At 37.0% G+C, this 15,579-nt stretch overlaps 1 protein-coding gene across 3 annotated transcripts in view; it reads right to left on the reverse strand.

The window, feature by feature from the left end:
• CCDC148 (coiled-coil domain containing 148) overlaps nt 1–15,579 on the reverse strand; it is a 285,681-nt gene that overhangs the window by 152,984 nt on the left and 117,118 nt on the right. For 2 of the 3 annotated variants that reach the window (NM_001301684.2, NM_138803.4), the window contains 2 exons: nt 14,934–15,029; nt 14,670–14,851 (listed from right to left, as the gene is read on the reverse strand). In NM_001301684.2, the coding sequence (NP_001288613.1) occupies nt 14,670–14,851; nt 14,934–15,029 (278 nt within the window). Of the gene's footprint in view, nt 1–14,536; nt 14,852–14,933; nt 15,030–15,579 lie in introns of those variants that run through there. The other variant, NM_001301685.2, reaches the window with a different exon arrangement.

Consider the following 15,579-nt stretch of genomic DNA (forward strand, 5'->3'; position numbering starts at 1 on the left):
CAGGCATGCACCACTACTGCCCAGCTAATTTTTGTATTTTTAGTAGAGACGGGGTTTCACCATGTTGGCCAGGCTGGTCTTGAACTGTTGACCGAAAATGATCCACCCATCTTGCCTCCCACAGTGCTGAGATTACAGACATGAGCCACTGCACCTGGCCCAGGATAACTATTTTTATTGTTTATTTGGGTGAATAACATTTCAGTCTTTTTTCTGTGGCTATATATAGATGTAACGCTTTCAGAAGGAAAGAAAAAAAGAAAGTCCATGTTCTATAAACTATTTTGTGGCCTGCTTTTTAATTACATAGCAACATATTCAAACCATTTGTGTCATTAGAAATATCCTTTATATAATCATTAATGTCAGTGTAGTATTCCACTGTGTGGATATATCATACTTGATGAAGCTCATTCCCTATTTGCTGGCTCTTTAGGTAGTTTTGAAGATTTTGCCATCACTAAGGAGAGAAAATTTAATGTTGAACACCCCTGAAGCCAATATCCACTTTATGTCTCTGATTATTTCCTTAAAGATCATATCTAAAGAGACAAAGAGTACTCACATTTATAAAGATTTTTGATGACATGGTGTCAGACTTCCAAATACACCAATTATATATTAAAATGCTCATTTCTCCCATACCATTTTAAACTCTGGACACAATGTTTTACATTTTATAGGAAAAAAATTGAGTATTTTTTAAATTTTCATTGCTTTGATGAGTAGAGAGGCTTTTATAACTTTCTTAGTCATTTGCATTTAGAATTACCAGCCAGAGTTCCACAGACTGCCACCATGAACATCTATTCATTCCCCTCCCAGCATCTGCACCATATACTCTGCAACCTCACCTGTTAGAGTAGCAGATGAACCATCTGTGCTTATTCCTCCACTTGTGTACTAAATCCCAACTCTCCTTACAACTCCAAGGCATCATTCAGCAATTCCCCTCTCGCCTGCATCTTCAGAGTTTATCCTTTACTAGATTACTCTTACTAGCATCAAACACACTGCTACGTCTCCTATTTGAAAAAAAAAAAAAAGCAAATAACTACATAAAAGCCTGGCCCTACTTGCCTACTCTCCTTTGCAGAAAAACTTCTCAAAATAGTTATCTGTACACATCATCTTCAATTCCTTTCCTACGCATTCCAATCTATTCCATCAGGCATTTGCTTCCACTTCTTCAATGAAGATTGAACCTCCATCTAAAGCCACCAACAACCTCTATTAAAGCCAACAGTCAATTATCAGTGTATTTTACTTACCAGCAGCATGTATTCAATGGACTGACCACTTCCTCTTCACTTGCCTTCCAGGACACTACACTCTCTTTGTTTTCATATCTCACAGACATTTTCTCAGTGTCCTTTGTTGGCTCTTCCTCTTGTCCCTGACATTGTAATGTTGGCAGGCCTAAGGGATCAGTCTTTGATTTTCTCCTTCCTCTCTTTACTCACTACTTTAGTGATCACATCCAATCTCATGCTAATGACTCATATCCATGTAATTCCAGTCAAGAGCTCTTTCCTGAATTCCAAACCCATATAGCCAACTGCATCCACACAATCTCTACACAGATACCTAATGGCATCTCAACCTCATCGTGTCCAAACCTCAACCCCGGATTTTCTCCACAGCCAAAGCTTGCTTCACATACGGTGTTCCCCATCTAAGTTGATGGCAACTCCATCCTTCTAGTTGCTCAGTCCCCAAAAAGCAACTATTTGGAACTATTCTTGTTGCTCTCTTTTTCTTACATGGCTCATTGAATCTGTCAACAGGTGCTGTTGGCTCTGCCTTTAAAATATATCCAAGAGCTGAACTGGATTACTTTATCTAAGTGTCCAATATCTTCTTGCACTTCTACCCCCCAGCCCCACAGTTTATCTTAAACACAGTAACTGCCAAAGTGATTCTGCTAAACATAAGTCTGATTTTGTCACTCTGCTCACTTCTGCTCAACACCTTCCAACAGCTTCTCATATCACACAGAGTAAAAGCTGAAGTTTTAAAAATGGCTACAAGGCTCTAAATGTCCTGCCCCCCATCCATACCTCTATGACCCCACCTTCTACTACTCTCCAGATCTGTCACTCTGTTCCTGCCACACTGGCCTCTTGCCAGGCATACTCCCGCCTCAGTAAACATTGACTGGAATATTTTTACCCAAATATCTGCAGGACTAGTTCTCCCAACCCCGTCTTAACTTTTATGTCACTTTCTCAACCAGGCCTACCCCTAAACATCTACTTAAAATTACAGTCTGCCACCAGAACCCCAACACTTTCTATCTCTCTTACTTTGTATTTTTTCATAGCACTTATCACCTTCTAACACTACTGTGTATAATATACTTATGTATTATGTTTATGGTTTTCAGCATGTTTCTGTTTCATGAGTACACGAATTTTTGTATATTTTATGCCAATAAATGTTCAATAAATATTTGTTGAAAATACGAAGGATAAGTCAGTCATATCTTCATCTCATTTGCTCCATTTTCCTTTTGGCTGTTCACCATTCAATTAACTTGCAAAATGTCTTTATGCATTAGGGATTTTAATCATTTGTACCTGATATGTTGCCAACATTTTCCTGTTACTTCATTTTTACCCTTGTCAATTTTTTTCCTTTAAAAATTTTTAGAATAGAAACAATACTCATATGGTTCAAAATTCAAAAAGTTTAATGAAAGAGGATACAATAAAAATTCTTTCTCACACCTACTCCCCCAGGCATCTGGCTCCCCTCCCTCAAGATGAATGTTATCAATTTTTGTGTATTGTTTCAGACATGAAAAAGCAAATATATAAAAATATATATGTTTGCTTTTTCCTGTTTTACACAATGTAGACTGTGCATTGCTTTGATTACTTAACTATATACCTCACCCTAACCCTTACATATTGTTCCATGTCAGTTAATATAAATTTTCACAATTTTTAATCTGCAAAATAATATATTCTGTGTATGTACAATAATCTATAAAACTAGTTCCTATTGATATTAAGGTTTTTGCTCAATCTTTCACTACTGCAATGAATAACTGTAAAAATAAATCAGTGTATACATATTCAAGTACATTTATATGATATATTATTGAGATTTAGAGGCTGTCAGGACAAAGGGCATATGCTTTGTGATCTGGGAAGTCCTGCTGATCTGCTCTATAGAAAAGATTCACCAGTTTAGACTCACTTTAGCAGAATATAAAATACCTGTTTTCTCCACACTCTTGCCACATCTGTTAAGATTTAGTTGCAGATGATAAAAACTATTCAAACTCTTTAAGCAAAAAATAGTTTATGACTACATATTATATGACTTACACAATAATGCCTCTGCCATGATTAGGAAAGGACCCACCTACCACCTCAGGAAGCTATAATGTCAGAATATGATCACATGAGCAACGTGAATGCCTCACTCCTTGCTTCTTTTCCCTTTAACTCAATTCTGAACCCAAATTCATCCAAGGATTTTGGATTGTCTGAGCCCAAATCACATCCATTGACTGATCTGTTCATGGCAACATGCTACAGTTTATAAAATGCTTAATATAACACAGCAATAGTCTTCCCTCATTATTGCTTCTTTTCCTCAGAATTCTCCTAAATTCAAATTCAGATTAATATTTTAATCCTGTGAATTTTATTGATATCGTTAAATTCATATATTGATGGAAAATATCTCTATAATTATTCAGTCTTCTGAGACTAAAATATCACTTGTTCAAGTTTTATGTCCTTCAGCAACATTTGAAATTTTTTTCCTATAGTACAGATCTTTTACATTTCTTGTTAAATTAATTCCCAAATATTCTATATTTAGAATTGCTATTGCAAACTCTGTTTCTTTCTTTCATGAGATCTTCTAGATGGCCACTGTTTATATATATGAAAGTTTGGGTTCTATTTACATTAATTTTATACCCAGCCATCTTACTAAATTATCTCATTTCTTTTTTTTTTATTTAAGTTTTAGGGTACATGTGCACAATGTGCAGGTTAGTCATGTATGTATACATGTGCAATGTTGGTGTACTGCACCCAACAACTCGTCATCTAACATTAGGTATATCACCTAATGCTATCCCTCCCCTCCGCCCACCCCACAACAGGCCCCAGTGTGCGATGTTGCCCTTCCTGTGTCCATGTGTTCTCATTGTTCAATTCCCACCTATGACTGAGAACATGCTGTGTTTGTTTTTTTGTCCTTGCAATAGTTTGCTGAGAATGATGCTTTCCAGCTTCATACATGTCCCTACAAAGGACATGAACTCATCATTTTTTATGGCTGCATAGTGTTCCATGGTGTATATGTGCCACATTTTCTTAATCCAGTCTATCATTGTTGGACATCTGGGTTGGTTCCAAGTCTTTGCTATTGTCAATAGTGCCACAATAAACATACGTGTGCATGTGTCTTTATAGCAGCATGATTTATAATCCTTTGGGTATATACCCAGTAATGGGATGGCTGGGTCAAATGGTATTTCTAGTTCTAGATCCCTGAGGAATCGCCACACTGACTTCCACAATGGTTGAACTAGTTTACAGTCCCACCAACAGTGTAAAAGTGCTCCTATTTCTCCACATCCTCTCCAGCACCTGTTGTTTCCTCACTTTTTAATGACTGCCATTCTAACTGGTGTGAGATGGTATCTCATTGTGGTTTTGATTTGCATTTCTCTGATGGCCAGTGATGATGAGCATTTTTTCATGTGTCTGCTGACTGCATAAATGTCTTCTTTTGAGAAGTGTCTGTTCATATCCTTCACCCACTTTTTGATGGGGTTGTTTGTTTTTTTCTTGTAAATTTGTTGGAGTTCATTGTAGATTCTGGATATTAGCCCTTTGTCAGATGAGTAGAATGCAAAAATTTTCTCCCATTCTGTAGGTTGCCTGTTCACTCTGATGGTAGTTTCTTTCGCTGTGCAGAAGCTCTTTATTTTAACTAGATCCCATTTGTCAGTTTTGGCTTTTGTTGCCATTGCTTTTGGTGTTTTGGACATGAAGTCCTTGCCCATGCCTATGTCCTGAATGGTATTGCCTAGGTTTTCTTCTAGGGTTTTTATGGTTTTAGGTCAAACATTTAAGTCTTTAAGCCATCTTGAATCAATTTTTGTACATGGTGTAAGGAAGGGATCCAGTTTCAGCTTTCTACATATGGCTAGCCAGTTTTCCCAGCACCATTTATTAAATAGGGAATCCTTTCCCCATTGCTTGTTTTTCTCAGATTTGTCAAAGATCAGATGGTTGTAGATATGCGGCATTATTTCTGAGGGCTCTGTTCTGTTCCATTGATGCATATCTCTGTTTTGGTACCAGTACCATGCTGTTTTGGTTACTGTAGCCTTGTAGTATAGTTTGAGGCCAGGTGATGCCTCCAGCTTTGTTCTTTTGGCTTAGGATTGACTTGGCGATGTGGGCTCTTTTTTGGTTCCATATGAACTTTAAAGTAGTTTTTTCCAATTCTGTGAAGAAAGTCATTGGTAGCTTGATGGGGATGGCATTGAATCTATAAATTACCTTGGGCAGTATGGCCATTTTCACGATATTGATTCTTCCTACCCAAGAGCATGGAATGTTCTTCCATTTGTTTGTATCCTCTTTTATTTCATTGAGCAGTGGTTTGTAGTTCTCCTTGAAGAGGTCCTTCACGTCCCTTGTAAGTTGGATTCCTAGGTATTTTATTCTCTTTGAAGCAATTATGAATGGGAGTTACTCATGATTTGGTTCTCTGTTTGTCTGTTATTGGTGTATAAGAATGCTTGTGATTTTTGCACATTGATTTTGTATCCTGAGACTTTGCCGAAGTTACCTATTAGCTAAGGAGATTTTGGGCTGAGACAATGGGGTTTTCTAGATATAAAATATGTCATCTGCAAACAGGGACAATTTGACTTCCTCTTTTCCTAATTGAATATCCTTTATTTCCTTCTCCTGCCTGATTGCCCTGGCCAGAACTTCCAACGCTATGTTGAATAGGAGTGGTGAGAGAGGGCATCCCTATCTTGTGCCAGTTTTCAAAGGGAATGCTTCCAGTTTTTGCCCATTCAGTATGATATTGGCTGTGGGTTTGTCATAGATAGCTCTTATTATTTTGAGATACGTCCCATCAATACCTAATTTATTGAGTGTTTTTAGCATGAAGCGTTCTTGAATTTTGTCAAAGGCCTTTTCTGCATCTATTGAGATAATCATATGGTTTTTGTCTTTGGTTCTGTTTATATGCTGGATTACGTTTATTGATTTGCATATGTTGAACCAGCCTTGCATCCCAGGGATGAAGCCCACTTGATTATGGTGGATAAGCTTTTTGATGTACTGCAGGATTCAGTTTGCCAGCATTTTACTGAGGATTTTTGCATCAATGTTTATCAGCGATATTGGTCTAAAATTTTCTTTTTTTGTTGTGTCTCTGGCAGGCTTTGGTATCAGGATGATGCTGGCCTCATAGAATGAGTTAGGGAGGATTCCCTCTTTTTCTATTGATTGGAATAGGTTCAGAAGGAATGGTACCAGCTCCTCCTTATACCTCTGGTAGAATTCAGCTGTGAATCCATCTGGTCCTGGACTTTTTTTTGGTTGGTAGGCTATTAATTATTGCTTCAATTTCAGAGCCTGTTATTGGTCTATTCAGAGATTCAACTTCTTCCTGGTTTAGTTTTGGGAGGGTGTATGTGTTAATGAATCTATCCATTTCTTCTAGAACTTCTAGTTTATTTGCATAGAGGTGTTTATAGTATTCTCTGATGGTAGTTTGTATTTCTGTGAGATAGGTGGTGATATCCCCTTTATCATTTTTTATTGTGTCTATTTGATTCTCCTCTCTTTTCTTCTTTATTAGTCTTTCTGGCAGTCTATCAATTTTGTTGATCTTTTCAAAAAACAAGCTCCTGGATTCATTGATTTTTTGAAGGGTTTTTCTGTCTCTATTTCCTTCAGTTCTGCTCTGATTTTCGTTATTTCTCGCCTTCTGCTAGCTTTTGAATGTGTTTGCTCTTGCTTCTCGAGTTCTTTTAATTGTGATGTTAGGGTGCCAATTTTAGATCTTTCCTGCTTTCTCTTGTGGGCATTTAGTGCTATAAATTTTCCTCTACACACTGCTTTGAATGTGTCCCAGAGATTCTGGTAGGTTGTCTTTGTTCTCATTGGTTTCAAAGAACACCTTTATGTCTGCCTTCATTTTGTTATGTACCCAGTAGTCATTCAGGAGCAGGTTGTTCAGTTTCCATGTAGTTGAGCAGTTTTGAGTGAGTTTCTTAATCCTGAGTTCTAGTTTGATTGCACTGTGGTCTGAGAGATAGTTTGTTATAATTTCTGTTCTTTTACATTTGCTGAGGAGTGCTTTACTTCCAACTACGTGGTCAATTTTGGAATAAGTGTGGTGTGGTGCTGAGAAGAATGTATATTCTGTTGATTTGGGGTGGAGAGTTCTGTAGATGTCTATTATGTCCGCTTGGTGCAGAGCTGAGTTCAAATCCTGGGTATTCTTGTTGACTTTCTGTCTCCTTGATCTGTCTAATGTTGCCATGGGGTGTTAAAGTCTCCCATTATTATTGTGTGGGAGTCTAAGTCTCTTTGTAGGTCACTCAGGACTTGCTTTATGAATCTGGGTGCTCCTGTATTGGGTGCACATATATTTAGGATAGTTAGCTCTTCTTGTTGAATTGATCCCTTTACCATTATGTAATCACCTTCTTTGTCTCTTTTGATCTTTGTTGGTTTAAAGTCTGTTTTATCAGAGACTAGGATTGCAACACCTGCCTTTTTCTGTTTTCCATTTGCTTGGTAGATCTTCCTCTATCCCTTTGTTTTGAGCCTATGTGTGTCTCTGCACGAGAGATGGGTTTCCTGAATACAGCACACTGATGGGTCTTGACTCTTTATCCAATTTGCCAGTCTGTGTCTTTTAATTGGAGCATTTAGCCCATTTACATTTAAGATTAATATTGTTATGTGTGAGTTTGATCCTGTCATTATGATGTTAGCTGGTTATTTTGCTCGTTAGTTGATGCAGTTTCTTCCTAGCCTTGATGGTCTTTACAATTTGGCATGTTTTTGCAGTGGCTGGTACTGGTTGTTCCTTTCCATGTTTAGTGTTTCCTTCAGGAGCTCTTTTAGGGCAGGCGTGGTGGTGACAAAATCTCTCAGCATTTGTTTGTCTGTAAAGGATTTTATTTCTCCTTCACTTATGAAGCTTAGTTTAGCTGGATATGAAATTCTGGGTTGAAAATTCTTTTCTTTAAGAATGTGGAATATTGGCCCCCACTGTCTTCTGGCTTGGAGAGTTTCTGCCGAGAGATCAGCTGTTATTCTCATGGGCTTCCCCTTGTGGGTAACCCGACCTTTCTCTCTGGCTGCCCTTAACATTTTTTCCCTCATTTCAACTTTGGTGAATCTGACAGTTATTGGTCTGAAATTTTCTTTTTTTGTCGTGTCTCTGCCAGGTTTTGGTATCAGGATGATGCTGGCCTTATAAAATGAGTTAGGGAGGATTCCCTCTTTTTCTATTATTTGGAATAGTTTCAGAAGGAATGGTACCAGCTCCTCTTTGTACCTCTGGTAGAATTTGGCTGTGAATCCATCTGGTCCTGGACTCTTTTTGGTTGTAGGCTATTAATTACTGCCTCAATTTTAGAACTTGTTATTGGTCTACTCAGGGATTCGACTTCTTCCTGGTTTAGACTTCAGAGGGTGTATTTGTCCAGGAATTTATCCATTTCTTTTAGATTTTCTAGTTTATTTGCGTAGAGGTGTTTATAGTATTCTCTGATGGTAGTTTGTATTTCTGTGGGATCAGTGGTGATATCCCCTATAACATGTTTTTTTGTGTCTACTTGATTCTTCTCTTTTCTTTTTTATTAGTCTGACTAGCAGTCTATTTATTTTGTTAATCTTTTCAAAAAAAGCAGTTCCTGGATTCATTGATTTTTTTGAAGGGTTTTTCTTGTCTCTATCTCTTTCAGTTCTGCTCTGATCTTAGTTATTTCTTGTCTTCTGCTAGCTTTTGAATGTGTTTGCTCTTGCTTCTCTAGTGATATTTGGGTATCAATTTTAGATCTTTCCTGCTTTCTCTTGTGGGCATTTAGTGCTATAAATTTCCCTCTACACATTGCTTTAAATGTGTCCCAGATATTCTGGTAAATTGTGTCTTTGTTCTCATTGGTTTCAAAGAACTTATTTATTTCTGCCTTGATTTTGTTATTTACCCAGTAGTCATTCAGGAGCAGGTTGTTCAGTTTCCATGTAGTTGTGCGGTTTTGAGTTTCTTAATCCTGAGTTCTAATTTGATTGCACTGTGGTCTGAGAGACTGTTTGTTATGATTTCTGTTCTTTTGCATTTGCTGAGGAGTGTTTTACTTCCAATTAGATGGTCAGTTTTAGAATAAGTACGATGAGATGCTGAAGAGAACGCATATTTTGTTGATTTGGGGTGGAGAGTTCTGTAGATGTCTATTAGGTCCGTTTGGTCCTGAGCTGTGTTCATTTCCTGGATATCCTTGTTAACTTTCTGTCTCGTTGATCTTTCTAATATTGACAGTGGGGTGTTAAAGTCTCCACTATTATTGTGTGGGAGTCTAAGTCTCTTTGTAGGTCTCTAAGAACATGCTTTAGGATCTGGGTGCTCCTGTATTGGGTGCATATATATTTAGGATAGTTAGATCTTCTTGTTGCATTGATCCCTTTACCTATTTCTAGGTTCTTTCTTCTGTTCTGTGGATCTGCTTGGCTATTCTCTGGTCATATCACACAATCTTGATTATGGTAAGTCTTGAAGTTGGGTAGTATCAGTCCTCCAACTTTGCTCTTCTCTTTCAATATTGATCTGCCTATCTGGGTCTTTCATCTTTCCACATCAAGTTTACAATCAGCTAGCCAGTCAATATCCAAAAAATAATTTGCTGGGATTTTGACTGGGATTGCATTGAATGCATAGATCAAGTTGGTTCCTTTTATTCTCCTGCTGCCAGAAGCAAAAGGGAATTTTTATCAGATATTTACAGTGAGAACTTGATATAGCTCCTGGAGTAAAACTCACAAAAGTGTGGAGTGCCTCCTATGACTGGGTCCTCCTGGAGTTTTTAACTCTCAGAGTTGTCTACACTGAGCCTCTAGCAGTTTATGAATTATGGTTCAGGGTTTCTTAGCTCATTACTGGTTCCTGCAGAGGTTTCTGCTCATGTATTTCTGCTCCAGTAAGTTGTAATTCTTTGTATCTTTCTGTCTCTCCAATTTTGGGGGAAGCATTTTGTGCTGCGGTCTCACTTATTTGATAGATCAAAGACATCTGATTTTTCAGTTTGTTCAGCTTTTTATTTGTTGTTAGAAGCAAGTGGCAACTATGTTTCTACATGCTAGACTGGAAACCAGAAGTCTCTATTTTCTAGAGTTAAAACTTCTCTGCGTAACAATTATGCTAGATTTTTGAATGGCCTTCTCTACTTCAAGATTATTTATTTTTATTTTTATCTCATTCTTTTATGATTTTCTTTCTTCATATCTTAACGCACCTGGAGGTCACTGAGTCGAATAGAATGAAGAGACCTAACCTTATCTTCCAATTGCCTATTATCTAATGCTATCTCTTTAATAATCTGATATTACCCCAGTTTTGAAATTAGCCTTTATTGTAAATTAAATCATTATATTTTTCTGCTTTATTTCTGTTTTGTTCCACTGATCTGCTACACACTCCATAGTCACATAGAACTTTCTAATTTATTTTGATTTTAAAAAATATATATATTTATATTTGGCTGCGCAAGTCCCATCCCTCCACCATTAGTTAATCTTCATTTTTAAAGTTTGGCTGATTTTACAAGCTTAATCTTCCTAATAAATTGGAATATTTAATATAATTTTTCAGATTAATTCCATGAGTCATGGATATTTTGAAGCCAAATCAATTATTGTATTGAATTACGGATGTTTTTAGTGGCAAACAACTAGAAAGCCAAGTCACACTGGTTTAAGACAATAATTGGACCAATGGCCCTTAAAATTCCAGCAGTGAGGTGGACTTCCCATGCCATTCAAATAAAGCACTAGCTCAGTTTCTCCAGGACTCCTGAGGCCCTGCCCTGTCTTCAAAGGCTGTCTTCCTTCGGTCACCAGATGACTGCCAGCAGTAACGTCAGCCATGTGCTTTCTTGGTAACATCCATGCAGAAGAAAAGATACTGCTTTTCACAAGCACCTAACAAAAGTCCTGAGCTTTGCTCAGGGTAGCCTATGCTAACCCTACTCATTCTTCAAAGTTCATAGTGAATTTTGCTTCCTCCATCAATCCTCCTAAGTTACTTTATCCTCAATGTTCCTTTCCTCTGCAGAAATATTAGCATGTGTATTAGTCTGTTCTGATGCTGTTAATAAAGACATACCCAAGACTGGGTAATTTATAAAAGAAAGATGTTTAATTGACTCACAGTTCCACATGGCTGGGGAGGCCTCACACTCATGGCAGAAGGCAAAGGAGGAACAAAGTCACATCTTACATGGTGGCAGGCAAGAGAGCTTGTGGTGGGGAACTCTCATTTATAAAACCATCAGATCTGGAGACTTATTCACTACCATGAGAACAGTATGGGGGATACTGCCCCCATGATTCAATTATCTCCACCTGGCCCCACCCTTGACATGTGGGGATTATTATAATTCAAGGTGAGATTTGGGTGGGGACACAGCCAAACCATATCAGCATGTGATGTATATTCACCTAATCCTCTCCTGAGGATTAGACCTCCCTTAGCTAGTCACTGTGACCTGGGAAAATGAGGTTGCACTGACTGGTACATACTCCCAATCACTGCCTACCTTTGGATCTAGAGATGGAGTCATTTCAAACCAAACCAGCGAGCTACTATAAAATAGGAAGAATTGAATAAACAATGGGACTAACCATGATGTCCACTGCCTTCAGCCAATGAAAACCTTTTATAATTAAACAATGCCCCCTGGATATTTCAACTTTCATATGGCATAGCAGTGCACAACTGTCTAAACTATGCACACACTTCCACATACATGAACACAATCTATGTGAGCCCAATAACTAGAACAAAGAGGGGAGAAGGCCATATCAAAGTAGTGAAGATACTGGTAAACTGGAAGTACAAATAATGTTATGATTGAACCTATAATTCATTGTCTTAGGTAGAACAGTATACTTTTATGCCTTACTGCTCACAAGCCACAGACTACTGATAGCCACCACCTCTGTATTTATTCAAAATCACTCTTTTACTCTTTCTTCTCAAAGACACAACTCCTGAAACCTCATTCAGTTTTTATTGATGCTTCATTATTTCCTGCCAGCATATTTATAAAATATTTTCTTTAGTTGACATTTGCATGTTATTTTTATTTGGTTAGGGTACATGTATATACATTTCTTCCCCCAAATATTCCAAGCCTTCTTAGAGGCAAAGCCATATACTAAACTAATCTGTCTGTTGAACCCCCTACCAGGGAGCTTGCAATGACTACTGTATTTTAAGTTTTATTCAATAAATATTCATCAAGTGAAACAGATCATTATCTGAATAAAATGTATTATGGATAATTATAAGTGGCAAGCAGACTATTAAACTAGAATTTATGAACTTTATATTCCTCCAAAGTAGATTCCTACTGTTCCCATAACATATCTTGCCTTCATTGTTTTTCTTTTCAAATTCAACTCAATTGAACAATCATTTATTTAAAGATGTTAAGGATACAAATATAACTACTAAATTACTTTGTCCTCAAGGGGTTTACAGTCTAGTCATTTAATCTCCCTTCTTAGAATGCCTCCCCACCGTCTTCTGCCTATGCTAAGCATACCCCTTCTTCAAACTCCATAGTGAATTTTACATCCTCCATCAAGCCTTCCTAAGCTATTTTATCCTCAATATTTCTTCCTTCTGCAGAATTGTTAGCATGTGATATATATTCATCTAATCCTCCACTTAATCTTCAGTAATTTTAATGTAGCTGTGAATCTCAACTGTTTCTGAGTCACACAGGGTTGCATTATGAAAGAGCAGAAATTGAGTTTAGTTAAAAAGAAAGAAGGAAAATGGGCTGTGAAGAATAACTCTTACTGGAAGAAAGCCATTTTAGACTGCTAAGGCAAACTCCTCCCTCTTGGGGAGTTACTAACCTAGAAACACCACAATCTCAGCCAGCTTTCTCAGGGAGATAAGGAATCATCTGGGAGAGGAGGTACTGGGCCAGCCAACTTGCTTTAAATGATAGGGTCAGATTTACCCTCTTCACAGCTACAGTTTATCAGGCTGATTATAATGCCCTCTCCCCTACCAAACAAAAAATCCTCTTCCTCTTTCTTGATGAGTTCTAAAATCTCTTTAACAAGATTGGGATGGGGAGTGGGAAGACAATGTTCATTTAACAATTGGAGACTTAAGTGTAGTGCATGGTTGAGTTAGTACTTCACTACGACTGAGTTCCAGTTAACATGTAATTAATCAATCATCAAGTGTAAATTGTATATTATTATTTCTCAGCTTTACTGCAAGATAGGAAAGAAGAAAGGAAAGGAGAGAGATGGGGAAGGAAAGGCTATCAGGAGACCAAAAGGTGTGTGATGTGGAGAAGCTACCATCAGAAAAAGGGGTCCAACTTCAGGTAGAATCAGCTCTATTTACTGACAAGAGTGCTAAGACCAATAGAAGCTATAACTGAAGAGTTTGGATCAGGAAGCTACCAAAGCAAATAACTCTACTTGGTATAATTTAAGTTTTTTCCCCCTGTAATTTATTTCTTACAATTAATAGTTTCATACAGAGGAGCTGCAGTTCACAGGCAATTCATAAGAAATATAAATATTTGTCATATTCGTCTTCTTCCATTCCAAAGTTATAAACCTTTTATTTTAATTTACTATAAATGTGTCCCTTAAATAGTTATCTTTTTAAATATACATTCTTTCGGGGAAAATATTGAGGTCAATATCATAGCACACAAAGCTGTTTCCCTACAAAATGTCCCCTAGATGCTTCATATACACTATAAGGTAGACCATTGATCTAGTTCAGAGTGGTGTATCCGGATTTGTCATCTAAGTGAATTTTAACATAGAAGACACTAGAGAAGATGACCGCTGCCAAACTGAATTTTAAATCGCTGAACATTATATTCACCATGCAGAAGTGGATAATCATTCTTGGGAGAAAACCAGAAGTCTATTTCCTAAAAATGAAATTTAACATATAGAAGAAATTTTTTTAAAATTTAGAAAACATACTCTGTGTTGATCATAGGATAAAATTACAGTCAATTACAAGTAACATAATTCCATGGGTACATTTTCCATTGTATCAATTACTGCAGAGCAGCTTCACATCTTGAAAAGAAAAGTTGTGGTTACTGAAAATTCATATTTGAAAACTATTTCTTACCTGTGTAGTGAAGAGCTCAATAAGAGACATTTTCAACATGTCTTAACCTTATAAAAATCTTAAGAACTATTATGTCAAGAAATTTTTTTGAAAAAATAAAACCCTCTCTATTCATCAAATAGTCAGTCTAAACATTTATTGATTGTATTCCAGTTACATAGTAACTATACAGTAAGTTGGAAGTATAGTGATCCCAAACAAAAATAAAAAGTTAGTGTCAAAAGTCTACACAGGACTCAGTTTTATCTTATCACCTGTATATGTCTTCCAACTGCAGATTAAAGTCTTGAAGCTTCTTCTGATATTTCTGTGTAAACTTATAGAACTCACTGAGAATTGAAGATTTCAAATCAGGGTATGGGCATTCCAAACTTTCTAATTCAATGGGCAGTTCACTAAGCGGGTTAGTCTTTTCTTCCAAAGAATGATCTAGAATCTGAAAAAAAGTATATGATTATTTTATTTAACATAAACGACAAATTGATAAACACATAAATTATTAGCCACATCACACTTACCTTTATACTCCAGTCTGAAAGATCATTTTCTATTCTCTGTTGCTCCAGCCTAAGTCTTTCAAAGACAGTTTTCAATTGTTTCTTCACAAAGTCAACCTATAGGACATTTGGAACAAGTAGTAGGCAAATTATTGCAATTCATTCCATATTTATATTTAAAGACACAATAATTATTCTCAAAAGCCAATCAGTGATGAAGTTTAAAGACCTGTGGAAGAGAGTTAAAGAGATGCCAGCCAGGTAGGCAGTGCTCATCAGACAAATGAGCTGTGATAAGGCTTCTAGACATCCCAAAAATAAGCTCAGAAAGTACAGTGCAGTCACAGTCACTCTGCACCCACCTTTTTATTTTCTCTGTGGTAATGCAGAGAACTTACCAGATGTCTCTGCTCCAATCACCCCTTCCTTCCCTTGCATTCTTGCCTCTAATCCCCACCTGGGCATACATTTATATTTTTTATGAGTATTTATAAAAGCAATATAACATTACAGAATAACTGAAAAATAGAAAAAACCACCTAAATTTTTATCAAACATAGCACACCTATACTCAAGAAGTTTATGCTCAATTGAGGGGAAGCAGTTGACAAACTAATAAAAAAATATGTAAGAAAGGGTCAGGAGCAGGAAGGAAATGTCAAAATAG

Source organism: Homo sapiens, chromosome 2 (assembly GCF_000001405.40).
Source record: "Homo sapiens chromosome 2, GRCh38.p14 Primary Assembly".
NCBI classification, from domain to species: domain Eukaryota; kingdom Metazoa; phylum Chordata; class Mammalia; order Primates; family Hominidae; genus Homo; species Homo sapiens.